The 17,329-nt window shown below is 38.2% G+C and overlaps 2 long non-coding RNA genes across 8 annotated transcripts in view, besides 1 other annotated feature; one reads left to right on the plus strand and one right to left on the minus strand.

Moving 5' to 3' along the window:
- Positions 1-17,329, minus strand: part of LOC105374016 (uncharacterized) — a 137,553-nt gene that overhangs the window by 85,221 nt on the left and 35,003 nt on the right. For 2 of the 7 annotated variants that reach the window (XR_001740818.2, XR_001740823.2), the window contains 5 exons: positions 15,592-16,009; positions 14,377-14,549; positions 13,929-14,022; positions 11,282-12,359; positions 8,446-10,170 (listed from right to left, as the gene is read on the minus strand). This is a non-coding gene — a long non-coding RNA (uncharacterized LOC105374016). The other 5 variants (XR_924286.4, XR_001740822.2, XR_001740825.2 and 2 more) reach the window with 5 other exon arrangements.
- On the plus strand, positions 7,670-13,937 carry LOC107986106 (uncharacterized). Its single transcript, XR_001740827.2, has 3 exons — positions 7,670-7,753; positions 13,347-13,549; positions 13,686-13,937. It is a non-coding gene; the product is annotated as an uncharacterized LOC107986106 (long non-coding RNA).
- Positions 14,065-16,285: an enhancer, noted in NCBI's record as "VISTA enhancer hs1469". NCBI's record gives its function as "enhancer in: somite[3/5]" and the evidence as "EXISTENCE:transgenic organism evidence [ECO:0001131][PMID:17130149]".

Genomic DNA, 17,329 nt, shown 5'->3' on the forward strand with positions numbered 1-17,329 from the left:
CATAGAATATGAGAGTAAGAATTTAAAAACTTTTATGGCAATATAAAATTGTCACACCTCTGCTATGATTTGAATGATGATGTTCCCTCCAAAATTCATTTTGAAACTTAATTCCCCATGCAACAGTATTAAGAGGTATGGTCTTTGGGAAGTGATTAAGTCACAAGGGCAGAGCCCACATTAATGGGATTAGCACATTTATAAGCAGGCTTGAGGTTGAAGGGGGGCACTCTCTTGCCCTTCTGTTCTTTCTTCCATGTGTGAACACAGTGTTTGTCCCCTCCAGAGGATGCAACAACAAGGCACCATTTTGGAAGTGAAGACCTGGCTTCTACCAGATACCAATCCTACTAGTGCCTTGGTCTTGAACTTCCCAGCCTCCAGAACCATGAGGAATAAGTGTCCCTTGATTATAAATTACCTAGTCTTAGATATTTTGTTGTAGTAGCGCAAATAAATCAAGACAACAAAACAAGTCCATGATTGGTGGACTTGTTTTGTTGAACAGGGCATACAATAGTTTAATGTGTTGACCTCTTGTGCTGTGTCATGGATAACACAAGCTGTATTTTGATCATGCCCAGGGAACTATACACCAGTCTGTGATGGGTTAGAAATGTTAAAAAAAAAAAAAAAAAAAAGGTTTGTCCTCACAGAGTGCTAGAGAAGCCACAATTTATTTTCTTTAGCAAATGTTACTACATGCTATTTTCTGGTTATAAAGTTGTGTGTTTCATTCACATTGGTTACTGAGATAATAACTTTCAGCTTTTCTCCTAAATTCAGCTACTGTTCTCCCAACTGCAGAAACTAAGAATGAGGTGCTGTTGTCCTGATAAATAAGTCAGCAATACACTAATAACAATGCTATAAGAAGCACTTACTATGTGCCAGGCACTGTTCAAAGAATTTTACAGATATCTACTTATTGCATGTCAGGGTCCAGTCAGGAAAATAGTAATCACATTCTGCATTTGAGTAGGGGCTATTTTATATAGAAAATCCATTACACAGTAGAGATAATAACTACAAAAAGCAGCTACAGGAATCCCTCCCCTCACATTCAGGAGAACAATGGACATTGGGGTTACTAGAATCTGGTAGATCACAGGAGGGTGCTCAGCCTTTTGATGAGAGGAATCTCTTGGCTGCAACCACATCTTATGAATTTCAGAAACAGCCCCATAGAGATCATTCTCTGAGTTAATGGCATGGACAGGTTATTGCTTATATCTCTAAGGGGGCAAGTGTGTTGAAATAAGCTAGAAGCTTGAAGAAATGGCAATGAAGAATGCTGACAAACTAGCCAAAATCAAAAAGAAGTATTTTCTCTCTCCCTCTATCTTCTAACATCCCTCTTGTGTCTCTTATTGGTAGGGCCTAATAAGATGACCACTGACAGAGGAGGATGAGAAGTGTCATTTGTAGCACTCTTCCCCAGAGTACTATAGAGCAGAGGATAGAAGAGAGTATTGGGGCTGAGACACAATAAACAAATAACAAGCACAGTCACATAATCCTATGAGGTGAATTCTATGATTATTTTATTTTCAAATGAATAAACCAAGGGCCAGAGATTTTAGGTGAGCTGTCTAAGGCCAACAGATATTAGTGGAGATGAGCAACAGACATCTGACTCCAGAGTCCATACCACTGCCTTCTGTGCTCTACCGCCTCTTGGTAAAACTGGGTAGTAGGATTATTAAAGAGATTAGAAAACCAGGTTTTTATATAGAATTATCACTGGCTCTTTGTTTTTATGATTCCTGTTGAAGTATTTTTTTTAATCTTCAAGTTAATATAATTTTAACTTAATTATTCTAGAGCATTTAGAGGACTTTGCCATTGTTCTATCTATAAAGACGAGAAGAAAATAGGAAGAAAGCTTTATATTTCTGGTGTCATACGTATTTACTAGATATTAATATATTTAACCATTATATATGTATGGGGCTGGAGTGGCATTGTGTGATGGGGTATGGTATTAACAAGGTTTAGTCTTTCATTTACTTTATTGATCTATTCATTAATTCCACGTTGTAAAGGGTGTTAAAATCACAATGAACAAGAAAGACGTAGTCTCAGCTTTCACAGAACTCACATTTTATTTGCTCAATAAAGTAGACTGGTGAATTAGTAAAAGCCAGTATGGTGACTTCCCATGTATTAGTGATCTTATTATTATATTTCTAAATGAGTAATTGAACCAAACACAAAGGTTGTTTGAAGTTTTAGTGTTCGTTTTTTTCTGGCTTTGCAACCCAATCAAGAGCAGAAAAGTGTGGTAATAAACTGGAAATGACCATTTCTTCAGGACTTTAGAAGGTTAAGAACACAGAGGTAGAGAAGGGGCTACAGATGGTCTCATGGAAAAGGGCTCTAAAAGTAGTTAGAAAAAATTAACTAGAAATACATTGGAAATAAAGTTAAAGGTTGTTGAGTAATTGTTTTCTTTACCAATTACATTCTTAGCAATGTAAGTTCAAGACAAGAGTAAATAGTTGGGGAGTCTATAGTTGAGCCATCATTACCTTTAGAGATTTTTAACTGGAGTATAGAAACATTGGGGTGTGGCTTTAATTTATGGCAATCAAACATATTTAATCACCAAGGCAGAAAATCAATTAGGCTAGATTAGGCTTGGTTCTTACCCACAGTGCACTTTTTACATATTTGAGATATTGGTATTTCTGAGATAATGTTTTTATGGAGACATGAGAGAATTTTTGACCTGAGAAATATATTGCAAAGTCTAATATAATATCTGTATCTTTTTTTTATAATTCTTATAATGTCACAACTTAACTTTAAACATTTGTGTAGAATAGTGAGGCAGAAGCTTGGACTAGAGACAAAGCCATATTAGAATACACATTATCAAAAGATAAACTGTATAGTCTGAGCCAAATTGTTTGGGGCCATCTTGTCCAGCACCCCCACACAAAATAAGAAAGTAAAAGGAAAGAGTTAAACCCAGGAGTCTGCAAAACAAAGGCACTGGAGTAGATTGGAGATGCTTCCAGAGTTGCTCATTATATATGGGGTTTGAGCAGACATGAAGACCAGTGGAGTCTACTACTAGGGAAAAGCACCATTCTGGCTTTCATATAACAGTGAAACACTCTAATATGCAAAATTCTCTTTTTAATATCCTTTTGTATCTTTGGGACTTATCTTGATTTTTCCCATTGTCTAGTTCACATTTCTCCTGCCTCAACTTCTCAACTTTAAGCAATGATTGCTGACTTTGTACTCTGTTTCCTGGCTTCCGATTTCACATTTTTCTTTTGTTATAGTGCCTCCAAGCATTAATCCTTTGGTAAGGAGTTTTTGGCTCAGTTCTAGGGCTTTCCATGCATATACAGTGCCCTTATAGGCAGCCTTATAGTTACTTTGAGCACTTATTGAGATAGTTACCAAGGTCACCTGGCCTGAACTCACACATATGAAAAAGTGCCTGGTGTTGCTAGGTGGTAGAATAAGACTTACCCATAATTGACATATATCATTTTTAAGATTGCAAACTTTCTTTAACATTTTAAACTAGTTTTGATTTAAAAAATTCAAAAGCGTTTCACAAACTTTCTTGCTTCTAAAAAGCAGAGTATGATAAGCAACACTTAAGCATTTCTTGATGACTCATTTTAATTTTCAAAATTAACTACTATACCACAATATAAAACAGAGTATAGTCACTGCACTAAATGGTCCCAGACAGCTATATAGTTTGCATCCTTATGTCATAATTATTTTCTGCTTCCTTTCCAGTTGTTAAGCTATCAAATCAGCTATTCTCCAGGATCTCCCTGACTTCTTTTATAATATGTTGCTTGGAATTAGAAAACCAGATAGCCAAATTGATTAAAATGATGTCTAATCAAAGTGGGGAGCATCTCTGATTCATGACTGGTGAAATTTTCCATTAGGAAAGTGCAAGGTACTGAATTCCTTGACATTTGCATTTATTGGAACTATTTGGAGGTTTTTTGAAATTTACTTTGGTTCTCAGTTGGATCCTGGAAACTTTATGTCCTCATACTCTCAGAGAGTGGTGTAACTTACTAATGTCTTTGGGTTATAAGTCAGCAAGGAGTCAGCATAATGTAAGGTGGCCAGGTAGACAGGGTTTGACTCTTGCTTTTGTCACTTGCTAGCTTGAACAAGTCACACAGCACGTTTGAGCCTCATTTCAGTCATCTATAAACCTGTCATAAATGTTGGTCAGTATTAAAGGTCTTGTGTGGTATAAATCTAATACTCTAAGTCCATCACATCTCTTGAAGAAAAAGACTTCATATAACACAATGGGTAAAATAGATTGGTTTACAGAGTTTATCTTTGCAAAACAAAACCATATTGTTTACCATATGCAAAAGTCACTTTTTTTCAGCTTTGCCTGTCTTTATTGCTAGAATTCTTGTAATAAAAATCTCTGCCTTCTCCTTAGATTATTATTCTAGGGATGATCTGATGACCAGGGGTCCAGACACCATGCTCCAACTTCTACAGTCTCCTCCCACTGCCCTTTATCCAAAATTATTGCCCTTTTCAGAAGAAAGTTTTACAGTGACTGAGTCTGTCAAGGGCCAATGAGAATAATTTAACTAAATTATGAATTTATAGGCCAGAATTAAGAATGTAAGCCTGAGGGGTACTGGTTTAAAAGGCAGCATTAGCTTTCCAGTTTTTGATGGAACGATAATTTTGGTACTATTTTGGAACTTTTCTGGCTACTAAAATAGCCAAAGCCTGTGACTCCAGTCCCTAGAGATTGTGCCTGTATTAGACCATTTTTACACTGTATTAGACCATTTTCACACTGCTATAAAGATACTACCCAAGACTGGGTAATTTATAAACAGAGGAGGTTTAATTAACTCACAGTTTGGCATGGCTGGGGAGGCCTAATGAAACTTACAATCATGGCAGAAGGGGAAGCAGGCACCTCTCACAAGGTGGCAGGAGAGAGAAAAGAAAAGAGTGAAGTGGGAAGAGCTCCTCAAGAAACCAACAGATCTCATGAGAACTCATTCACTATCATGAGAATAGCATAGAGGAAACTGCTCCCATGATCCAATCACCTCCCTTCTGGTTCCTCCCTGGACTCATGGGGATTATGGGAATTAACAGTTCAAGATGAGATTTGAGTGGGGACACAGAGCCAAACCATATCAGTGCCTTTTGGGGAATTCTTTTGGAAATTGGGGAGCATGAAAACCAATGTATAACTGTTGTCTAAAATCAAGGAGAGTGGAAAGCTGTGTGAATGACACACATTTCCGGAGTTTGGTAGGACAAAAACACATGAGCTTCCCTGTAAAAATAATAGAGACTGCAGAAGAGAATTAGATTCTATATAAAAAGATCCTGCCTTCAAAGGCTTCTTCCTAGGATGTGAGGACCCCAGAGTAAATCTCTGGGCAGAAGTTGAGGGAGAACTCTAATTTCTAGGATAGAGGTGTTCAGCCATGGATGCAAGAGACTAAAGGGGGAAATTGACATGGTTTAACTCTGTGTCTCCACCCGTATCTCATCTGGTAGCTCCAATAATTCCCACGTGTTGTGGAAGGGACCCAGTGAGAGATAATTGAATCATGGAGGTGGGTCTTTCCCATGCTGTACTCGTGATAGGGAATGGGTCTCACGAGATCTGATGGTTTTAAAAACGGGGTTTCTCTGCACAGGTTTTCTCTTTGCCTGCTGCCATCCACGTAAGATGTGACTTGCTCCTCCTTGCCTTCTGCCATGATTGTGAGGCCTCCCCAGCCATGTGGAACCATAAGTCCAATAAACCTGTTTCTTTTGTAAATTGCCCAGTCTTGGGTATGTCTTTATCAGCAACATGAAAATGGACTAGTACAGAAGTATTTCTTGAGAATCCACAGAAGCCTTTCCTGAGAGAGCACTGCGTAACAGAGACCATTAAACAAGCAATGAAGAATAATAAATAGCTAGGCAAGTAATGTTTTGCCTTTTCCTCTAGTTTTACTTCTCCTTGTACCCAGAAGAGCATGAAGCAAAAGAGCCAGTGGATAAGGAATTGAAGTAAGGAATACTGAAAGAACTGAGGCTATCCCCCTTTCCTTTCCTTTTTTTTCTTTTTCTTTTCTTTTTTTTTTTTTTTTGAGACAGAGATTGCTCTGTCACCAAGGCTGGAGTGCAGTGGCACCAGAGCTGGAGTGCAGCGGCATGATCACGTCTCACTGCAGCCTCAACCTCCCAGACTGAAGCAATCCTCTCACTTCAGCCTCTCCAGTAGATGGGACTACAGGTGTATGCCACCATGCTTGTCTAATGTTTTAAATATTTTATAGAGACAGAGTCCCATTATGTTGCCCAGGATCATCGTGGACTCCTGGGCTCAAGTGATCTTCCTGCTTTGGCCTTCCAAACTGCTGGAATTACAGGCAAGAACAACCACTGCAGGCCCATCCCCTTTTCCTATTACTTGTCTGAGATGTCTTGGTCCAGGCTCAATATGAGAGAGGCAGAACTTTAAACTGTATAGAGGACAGAATTTCATTTTATTTATATTTTAGATTGAACTGGACTACTTAAATCTGATACAGATAGTATCCTAATACCAGGAAACTTATGTCATCTGCTCAAGATAGCCTCAACAGATGGAAAAGGAAGACTCAACATAATTTGTTAAAGGCAACAGTGGATAAAAGAAAAACTTCTTCCCGAACAGTCTTTAAATTCAATTCATTTAAAGGACTGTCAAAATAAACATATCTCATAAAAATCTGATCTACATATTTATTTAAAGGCATCCTTCACTCATTTATTCATTTATTCAGAGTATCGCTATATCTTCTGGCATTGTCCAACAGATTTTATAACAATTTTAAGTAAATTCTAAATTAGATGTTATAATATAATAAAAGAAATGCATCAATGTTTGCATTTTGAGCTTCCTTATAAATGGAGATCCCACACAGCAATGATAGGAACCAGGTTTAGGGGAGAGAAATGAGAGAGGACAAATAGGGCATAGTAATTACAGTGATCTAACTTCACTATTCTTTGCAATGAAAAGCAGCAGGATGAACTTTCATTCTTGAAAACGTTGACTGGTGGTACGGGTTATTGCGAGCACATTCCCTGTATACACTGTGAAGACTGCCTAACCACAGTAGGAGCCAATACATGTTTATGCCACTATCTTGTATTACATGTGATGTCTTGGTAATATACAACCCATTCAGGACTCTTTCCTAGAAGCTTTTTATTGAGTATCACAAAATCCACACTGTGTATACAATTTAGAGTCTATCAAAGCAGATGAGAACATATTATGCTTACTGTCTTGGGGAACAATTTCAATCAGCCTCCCCACTCCAATCCCTTATTAGTGGCTGCCTATAGCATTGTGCTGAGGCTGATTCCATAATCACATCAGAGTGTGGCAGGAACACCATAGCAATTAGCAACATGTTCCAGGAACAAGGAGAAGAGAGAGGTGGCAAGTTGGCCATATATTTGACAGCGTCTAAATTGAAGCTTACTTTTTTCCCCTGCAGCAACTGATCATTGAGGTAAAAGCAGGCTATTGATTTATGTTGAAGTGGAGAGTAAACTATGGTTTGATGACAGGTAGCGTCCAGTCATTTTGCAACACCCAAAGTAGCATGTTACTTCTGATCTTCTTAGTTGTTTGTCTAACTATTAATCCAACATCAGCAGCATGTTTTCAGAGATGGACAGGACTCCTAGAATGGGGGAATGAGCAACTGAAGACTTATGCGTTGTAAGTACATGAGTCCATAAGGTGTACAGACAAATGCCCAAGAAGCCACCACCAGCTCCACTTTTCTTGAAGTGGAGGGTGGGAATGTATATATTGTTGATTCTCATTATTCACAGCAGCTATATTCTATAATATCACTGCAAACACTGAATTGGTGAATACTGAACACTTGCTCCTAGGGCAAATACAGGGTTAGGTTCCTGTGAGCCTCTAGTCACACATTTTTCTTGACCAATCAATAACATTGATTTAGGTTGACTTATGTTTAAAAATTTCTTACTTAATATACACTGTTGATTCATTAACATTGAACTCACAACCAACAGCCACTAATTTATGCTAGAACAAACTTATCTAACACATATTTTCTGCATAAGGCACATCACAGTCTTCTTGTATTTAGGAATGCTACACAGCTCTTCAGCCTGATTCTTAGCGGCATTTTAAACAGTGAAATCATTAACAAAAGGCACTAAAAAGCCAAAACCATGCCATTGAATAGACCACAAAAAATACAGTTGTTTACAGTATGAAACAAGAACTTGTTTACAGAGCTGAAACAAGAAAACAGAGAATGTGTGTATCAGGTGACTCAAATTTTTCACTATTTCGAGCATGATCACGAATGACAGTGAAGGTATCATGAGTATTGTTTTGGGGGTTACAAATAAATTTTAGTAAACAGGCAAATTCACAAATATGAAATCTGTGAATAATGAAAATTAACTATGTGTTTGTGTGTGTATGACTTTTTAACTAGAAATAAAGATGCAGCCTTTAACATGAAGAGCTCCCATTTAATTGAAAATTTATGACTAGTACAAATAAAATATTCAAGGAAAATGCAAACTTGATATACAAGAAGACTAAACTCAACGGTTGAAATGCTAATATGAAATTCAAGGAGGAGTCTACGGAATACTCCAAGCAGAGATATTTTTAAAGAAGTAGGAATTGTTCTGAGCATTTGAGTGTGGGATAAAATTTGTTTAAGAGGAATGTAGCAGATAATGGACCTCAGGTGATGGTTCAGAGCGAACAAAGGTTTGGAGGCAAGAATGATGCTCTGAGGGCCCCTATAGCACTCCAGAACCAGTAGCACATGGAAGCAAAGATGGACTAGAGAGAAAGACTGAGCCCAGTGGGACACACAGAGCAGCTGGTCTGAGGATTTCATTCTGTAATCAGAAATACACCCCAGTTTGACCTTCATATTCTGATTTCAGGCTCAGGCTCCGATGGAATAATGGCTGTGCCTTTTATGTATGTGTATATTTAACTAAATTAAGCATGCAGCATTCTGCACAGATGAGCACTTGATATATTTGTTTATTGGTTATTCTTTCACTCCCACCTTGCCCAAGAGAAGTGAATGATTATAGTTTTTTCACCCTTTCTCAGAAACCTCACAGTGTGGGAGCAAAGTATTCCTTTCCCCAGGATAAAAGAGAGAAAGTAAATTGAGCCATAACAAATATTAGCCCACGTATGCTACTAAGTGTTCCCAAAAATTGGAGGTTAAATAAATCCACCATGTGGCTTTCAGAGTTGTGGTATAGTCAGGGGCAACACCCATAAGGACTTTATTTCTGAATGCTTTTTGAGAATATGCCCATGATTAAACTCTGTGCTGTCATTTAAAATGAGGGAATTAAACAACCAGCAATTAATATCACACTGGAGTATTACAGTCATATATGCAAGGATTTAGATACCTTTTATTAAATGTATTATTTTAAAGCATATAAATATTTTTAATTGTTTCCATTTCTACCAAAAGTCTTATTTACAAAGGGATGGATGCTGCTGGGGTAAGATGACAGACTCAGGCAATCTTCCTGGGCAGGGATTGAGAACATTTTTTGTAAAAGTTCAGATAACAAATATTGCAGGCTTTGCCTAAGAATAGGCTCTTTCACAGCTGCTCAACTCTGCCATGTGAAACCAGTCATAGATAATACATAAGTGAATGAGCATCGCTATGTCCCAATAAAATTTTATTCATCGGCATTTATATTTGAATTTTAAATATCTTTCTCATCTTATAAAATAGTGTTGTTCTTTTGATTGATTTTTTTAACCAATTAAAAATGTAACTGCGACTGTTACCTTGTGGGACACAACAGAAGAGATTTGGCCCATAGGCTGTAGTTTTCAGACTCCTGCTCTTAGGTAAAAGAGAGTCAATACTTCTCAGAGACTGAGAAAAAGGCGTTGGGCAGGCTAGGGGTATAATTGTGAATTGTGAATCCAGATTAAGAGGACAAGGTTCTTTGTCCCTGAAAAGCTTACGTATTGCTCCTGATGGTACTTTCTCAGGGACTGGAGTCACAGGCCTTGGCTACTGCAGAGTCTGGAAAGATGCTTCAAAGCAGTACCAAAGCACCCACTTGCAGTATTGCTTCAGGCTCTTCTGGCTAAGAAGAATAGGGAAATCAGGGGAAAGGCAAAATATTACTTTCTTGGCTATTTATTATTCTTCAGTGCTCTTTTAGTGGTCTCTGCTATACAGTGCTCTCTCATGGAAAACTTGTGTGTCTTTAAGAAACACTCCCTACTCTCAGTCTCTTGCACCTATGTTGAAGACCTCTATCCTGGAACTCAGAGTTCTTCCCCAACTCCTGCTCAGAGTCTTATTCTGGGGTCTTCTCATGCCAGGAAGAAGCCCTTAAAGGCAAAACATTTTTGCTATGGAGAGGAGGCAGGGAAATACTAGGTAGAAAAGGGCAGGGTCTCTGGCAAGGGTTCTACCCTAGAGCCTGGACCCATGGCCCTAAATGAGAATTTCACATCCCCATTTTCCCACCTGAATGTTACCTTTTGGCCCATGACACCCCCTATCCTGTGTCCATAAAAACCCCAAACTCCACTGGCAGAGGAACAGAGTGGCTTGGCAGAGAAAGAGAGAAGTGTCTGAATGTCAAGAGAAGAAGAGGCAGCTGGACATCAGAGACTATGGAGAGGAGTTTGGCTGGGGATGGCCAAACTCCAGGGGAAGATTATCTTTCCATTCTATCCCCTTTCCAGCTCTCCATCCCACTGAAAGCTACTTCCACTGCTCAATAAAATCTCCAAATTTACCATCCTTCAAGTCTATGTGACCTGATTCTTCCTGGATGCCAGACAAGAACCCAGGTACCAATAGGGCAGGGTGTAAAAGGCTGTCATCGTGACCCTCCACTGAGCTGGTTTAACACTTAGCCATCTGCAGACGGCAAATGCTAGAAGAGCATTGTTTGTAACACATGCCCTGTGGGGCTCCAGAGGTCACGGGCAACCCCTAGATGCTGCCACGGGTTGGTACAGGGTTTGTTCCTGTCAGTTCCCAAAGGCATTCACCCCGGCTCCTCCACCTGCTCACCGGCATGCTCCCTCTTCTGCAAGGGGTTTGAGTGGGTGGTCAAGCAAATGAGCCACCCCTGCTGCAGGTCCCACAAGGGGGTCAAGGGAACTCTCCTATCTCATTTTCATAATGGCTGTAGCCCATTTCCCTTCTATAGTTTCTATTTGGCTTACAGAAAAACTCACATGTCCTTGTCATCCCAAACTTTGGAAATTTGTGCCATTGACAGGGTTTTCCTTTCTCCTTGATTTCAGGCAAGAGTCATACACTGATCTTCATGCTCCTCAGATTCCAAGAGGTATACGTCAAATTTCCAAACAATTATCTCACTGCATAAAACATTTGTCCTATAATGGCATCTAATGCATCATCCTCTAATCAAGCTCAAAAATGTTAAGTAAGGAGGTCGATATCTCTTCCCTGTGACGGATCGTCAGTTTCTTTCTCAGAAGGTGGTTTTCTGCCCTCTCTCACTTAGCTTGGAATTTGGGAGAAGATACATTCTCCTCTCTTTCATTATACAAAGGGAAGAGAAATGCCACAGTACTCCTTATTTCTACTAATTTCATTCCATTTGCCTTCCCTCTCTGATTAATCTCTCTTGAATTTCTTACCTTTCCTTACATAGGGCAGTGGTGGACCATAGGCTAAAGGTTGCAGAGCCAATTTTGTCTACCTCTTAGAAAATTCTGTGGGGATGCTGTGTTTGTTGTATCATTCATTGCTCTCAGCTTTGGGGCCTCATCAGGAAAGCAGAAATCTTACATAACATACCCAGTGCACTTGTAAACCACTATTTGGGCTGGTTTTACACTACCTTTTATGGACTCTCAGGAGAAATAAAGATCATAGATATCAGTTAATTCACCCATATGATGGTCAAATTTCCTCTGCAACATCCCTGTGGATAACTTATACATCTTCAAGTCCTCCAATCACGGAAACAACTCATTGTATTTGGGAATAGCATTAGTGAGAAGTCCTTCCACGTGTCAAGTCAAAGTCTGCTTTTCTGTAATTTTCCCTCGACCTTCCTCCTCATTCTCTTCTTTGAAGCTAAACAGGACAAGCTGTTCTCTTCGGAGAAGCTTTTATATGAGAATCTTTAAATATGTGAGGATAACAGAGATTTTTTTTTCTTTTTACTTCCTTGAAGACTCAGGATTCCCATTGACTGCAATTGTTTCATAATGAGATTGTTTCAAATCCTGTCATTAAAGGGGTCTCATTTGGACACAATTCATTTTCCAGGTGGGGTTTGACCTAAACCAAATTGAACAGAAGAATCATCATCCTTCTTTTGGGAAACCGTGCTTCTAAAATCCACTCCTCCCACCTCTGAGCCTCTTTTTCCTGAAGGAATCCTATTCACTCTTTAGAATTTAGGCCATCTTTTTCAATACCTCTCCTCTTCCCCTTCCTCTTTTCTGAAATGTCACTGTATATATGCATCTTTATTTTGGTATGTGTCCTATTGAATGGTAAATTAATTACTTAATTTTATATCTGTTTTTCCCAGAAAATGCTAAGCTCTTGAAACAAGGACAATGTGTTATGCATCACTAGATTCCCCTTATGTCTTTATGCCTGGCACAAGCTGGAGACTTCATGAATGATGTTGAATAAACAAATAAGTGAATGCAGCCTAAGACTCCCTTCAGCCTTCCTAGTAGTGGTATCATACAGTTGCACCATGTTGAACACTTTGCCAATTTACATTTCTGAGAGCTTTTCACTTTTGCTCAGCTCACCTGGGTTTTCTCCATTATACTTATACCTATTATATGTATTTTAACTACACATATGTGTTGAAAAGTTAACATCTGAAAAGTGTATCTTAATGAAAAGTAATTCCAAATTATTTTAATCTATTTACAAATTCAGAGTAGACCTTATATTAACTCACAGTATAAGTATTTGAAAACAATTAACATTTCATTTATTTTAGCCAGTCTTTTTACCCCTTCAAATTACCCTCCTCTAGGGAGATTTTATCAGCTGTAAGATGGATCAGGGACCCTTCTTAGGGGCCTGCTAGGTCCCCACAAGCATGGAAATAAAGAAAAAAATCTTGAGTCCCTTCAAGGTAAATTCTAGGCACCTAGCTAGCCTTGAAAAGTAAGTGAGCAAACACATAAGCAAGAGGATATTAACAATAGTCTCCTAAGCAAGCCAACGTCAAAAGGTGTTTTGGTTCCTCTGGAAACAAAAAGTTAAAATCTTAACATATGTTCTTGGGTTGTTTTTCAGAAATCCCCACCAAATGGAAAATGCCAACTGCTATCACATAGACCTCGGAGAAGGAAGACCTGGGGACTGAACTCTGGTCTCTGTTCTTCATTCTGCATTTCTTCCTGAGGGGCCTGGAGAGAATCACACCCTTGGGCCAAACCAATGTCTAACCTCCATGTATTGATTTATGATTTTTCCTACAACTTCTGCTCTCCTGGAATGTATCCTTACCTTGAAAAACCCTTGCTTATAAGCCATCTGGGAGTTTGGGTCTTAAGCATTAGCTGCCCGTCCTCCTTGCTTGGTTGGCACCATGCAATAAATGCCGTTTTCTTTAACTGCAAATCTTGATGTCAGTGTCTGGCTTTCCTGCACTGGGCAAGAAGACCCCAGTTTGGTTTGGTGGCAGCTGTTTATATAAAACTTCCTGAAATCCCCCCATTGTGAACCTGGGAGTCAACAAAAACAACAAAGTGAAGCAGGGTTTGTTTGTTTGTTTGTTCGTTGCTTTTGTTTTATTTTGAGAATAGAGAGGACTGTGGGGGAAGAAAGATATACTTGTTCCTATTCCCACGCCATGCATTTTGGATGATGTGATACCTTTGTTGGTTCATGTCTGCAGCTCCTCAGATAGGTTCCTTTACTGTGTTCCTGTGCCTCCTCCTCCCTCAAGACCAGATCAACTTGTTCATTTCTGAAAGCAATCATTTGGTACAAAGTGTTACAAAACAATGTATGAGCAACTCAAGTATTTCTCAGCCATAGAATACTGGACAGATACAGTGGAAACTCACTTCCCCATCTGTGATTTTTTATTCCTTTCAAATGTCCTTTATTTCCCTTTGACTTTTCATCTGGAGTGTAAAACAGGCAAATGAAAGTAATCCTGATTAATGTCATTCATAATTTCTATTGCGCATCTACTAGGTGCATGGAATTTATTAAGGCAGGTCATATTTTAAAGGGTATAGTGTGGGAACTGTTGTCAAAGTATAACATATAAATCGATTTTGACCATTTATCATAAAATTATTATCTTTACACTAACCATATCATTATTTATTGTATGCTCAAATGTGCTTTGTTTCTCTTCTGGTTCCATTTTTTTTCCGCTTGTGGAGAAATGCTTCTAGTTATATAATGGAGTTCCATGGAAAAGTCAGGTAAGGTTACGCATAAACTTATTGGACGTGGCTATTTACAATTTGTCATTGTAGGTGCCTGAACACACAAGGAAGGAGAAATGAAAATAAGGAATCAGGAAAGATTAGTGACATGCCTTGGAATGAATCTGGAACAGCTTTGCCTGTGGTCTGAACTATATGTTTCACATTTTTAAAGCATTTATCTAAGGGTCCTTGCTATAACCAAAGGCGATTTTTCAGACCCCATGATTATATTCACTAGCAACAGAAGTGTGTTTTAGTAATAGTCGGATGTCTATTTATACATCATCAACATTTTAGGTAGTTTTCCTGTATTTCTTAGTCCCCCAAAACTCCTGAAATTCAAATTCTGCCTCCTCTCTAACATTTAGCACATTGTTGGTGCTCAATAAATGTTTAACAGTTGGGATACTTATGTTTAACAGCTGCAACATTGACTCCAAGGACAGCTGCATTTTAATGGTGTGTGAAGTGATTTATATGTAAGCTTCTAAAACTCATAACTAAAGCACTTAGCACTTTAGGCTCCTCTGGGACAAAAGGTGATAGATTAAGGTAAAATGGTATTATTATTTAATTCCGAAAGAGGTAAATTACACTGGCAAAATGCTATTTGATGTTACTGGCAAACCGCTGTGGTCTGATGCTTTGTTGCCATCAGGAAACGTGGTCCAGTGGTGGTAGCTGTGGTGAAGGAGGCAGGAGTCCCGGGTGCTATTTCTGGTTAATTCACTGACTTCCTGGGTGACCTTGGGCAACTCACTTAACCTCCCCATGCCTCAGTCTCCCTCCCTAGGAGTAGAACTGAGCAGTCCTTTCTAAGATTCTGCTTTAAAAGGACATTTTAAGAGTAAAACCTTGAAATGCTTCATTTGGCAATAACATTTTTTGCAGTAATGAGTGATTTGTTTTTCTCCCAGCTGCATTGTTGGCTGTTAGAAAAGCAGTGTATATTAATATGTCCTTAGCCTGAACACACGACGTGAGTTCCCAGAGTGGCCATGGGCACAGGAGTCTGTATTTCAGAACAGACCTATATCACTGCCAAAGGTACTTTGATTCTATACCATGCACACTTCTTATGACTTTGTCCTTACCATGTTTAAAGAGATTCTGAGACAAAGAAATAAACACTTCCCTGAATCCTTGGGTGGTGAAAGCTGTCTGGATTTTGAATCGACTCTTGCAGTTTGAGAAGAACCTGTTCATGCGTTTGGGAAAAATAGTGAAAAAATCCCAAACTTAAATCTTCTGCTCATTGCTCAGTTGAAGAAGAGAGTAGAGGACAACAGAGGGGTCCCTCTTCCTGTCTATGCCAGCCTTGTGAGCCTGCTGAATGGGGATGTCGTGCGGTTGGAACAGATGGCATTTCAGATCCTGTAGTGGCTATATCTTGAATTCTGACCATGGTACTTTACTCTAAATTCCTTGAATGGCTACTTAGGCTGCTGTATTTCTGACAATGCGTAGGCAGATACATAACGATTTATCCACACCACTGGGTACATACAGGTTCTTCAGAAAATTGATAGGCGTGAGGCGTGAGGGGTAAAGAGGAAAAAAAGAGCATAAGGGAAGAACATTATATAAAACAGATTATATTTTGTTTCCTTGATTAATAGACTAAATGTTCCAATGAATTTTTTTCTTGAAGAGTTCTTATCACTTATCAGACTGGATTGGGCTTTTTGGTGGATATGGAGAGTGTCACTGACTTATCCTCATTTTAATCATTTTTAAAAAGACAATAATTAGCACATCATTGTATAGTTCAATGGCTCTTGTACAGGGAAATTGGAGTGACCTTGAAAGGAAAAAAAGATTATATAGGCAGCATAAATTCACTCAGCTACTTTTTTGAGTTTATAGCTACTGGATTGCCATCATATTTTTTTCTTTACTGATGGTGGTTATAAACTGTACTATGATTTATTGTTATTTTGTAATTTTTTTTAAAAAAACCTCACTTCAGTTTTGTGCTTTGCATATTTTTACAATGGGTGCTAACATTTGTAAGATTCTCACATATGTGGATTGAAAGGCAATCAGATAATTGGTTAGTCATTTATTTTCAGCTTTAATCAAGAAATTAATGATTCTTAGTTTGCAATAAAGGAGAAACATTAACCATAAAAACTAATTTTAGTATTAAAATTCCTTCAGAATAAATGTTTGATATTGTGAGTCTAAAACTCTGATTACAGCACGAAAGTGTATAAAACTCTATTTCCCACCATTATAATCATTGTTTTCATAAAGGGCTTTTTGTTAATTTGAGGTTTCTTAGGAATGTAGCTCACAGATTTTTGCAGAAGAGGCAATATACACTAAATACCAACATATCCCCATGTGAAAAAACGTGTCCTTAGTATAGAGAGTAAAACACTTAAAGATTTTATGACAAGTTAAATAAAAAGTTGGATAAAGAGAGAGTTGTTAACGATTGTTAAGAAATTTCTTTGTTGATTTGACTATGTTGATTATGTAGATATTTTGAGGAAGACGTTAATAATCAGTTAATGATGGTGAAGATCAGTGTTAACCTAAGAAAGAGGTATTGAAGAGAAAAAAACCCCACAAAAAACCACAAAAAGCCCCAACAATAAAACAACACACACACATAAACATATATTGAATTTTGTAAAATTAAGGTATTAAGCCAGATTTATCAAATACAGTCCATGTCAAATCTTTGTGAATCATCAAAATCAGACAAGCTGAATTACCTGATTTACTTGATTTCTCAGAGTGAAAACAATAACAATTACTGACTGCTTGGTATAAACAACAACCCTATGGAGTATATTTTATTAACTCCCAAAAAGTTTAAGTAAT

The sequence above is a fragment of the Homo sapiens genome, chromosome 3 (genome assembly GCF_000001405.40).
Source record: "Homo sapiens chromosome 3, GRCh38.p14 Primary Assembly".
Taxonomy (NCBI): Eukaryota; Metazoa; Chordata; class Mammalia; order Primates; family Hominidae; genus Homo; species Homo sapiens.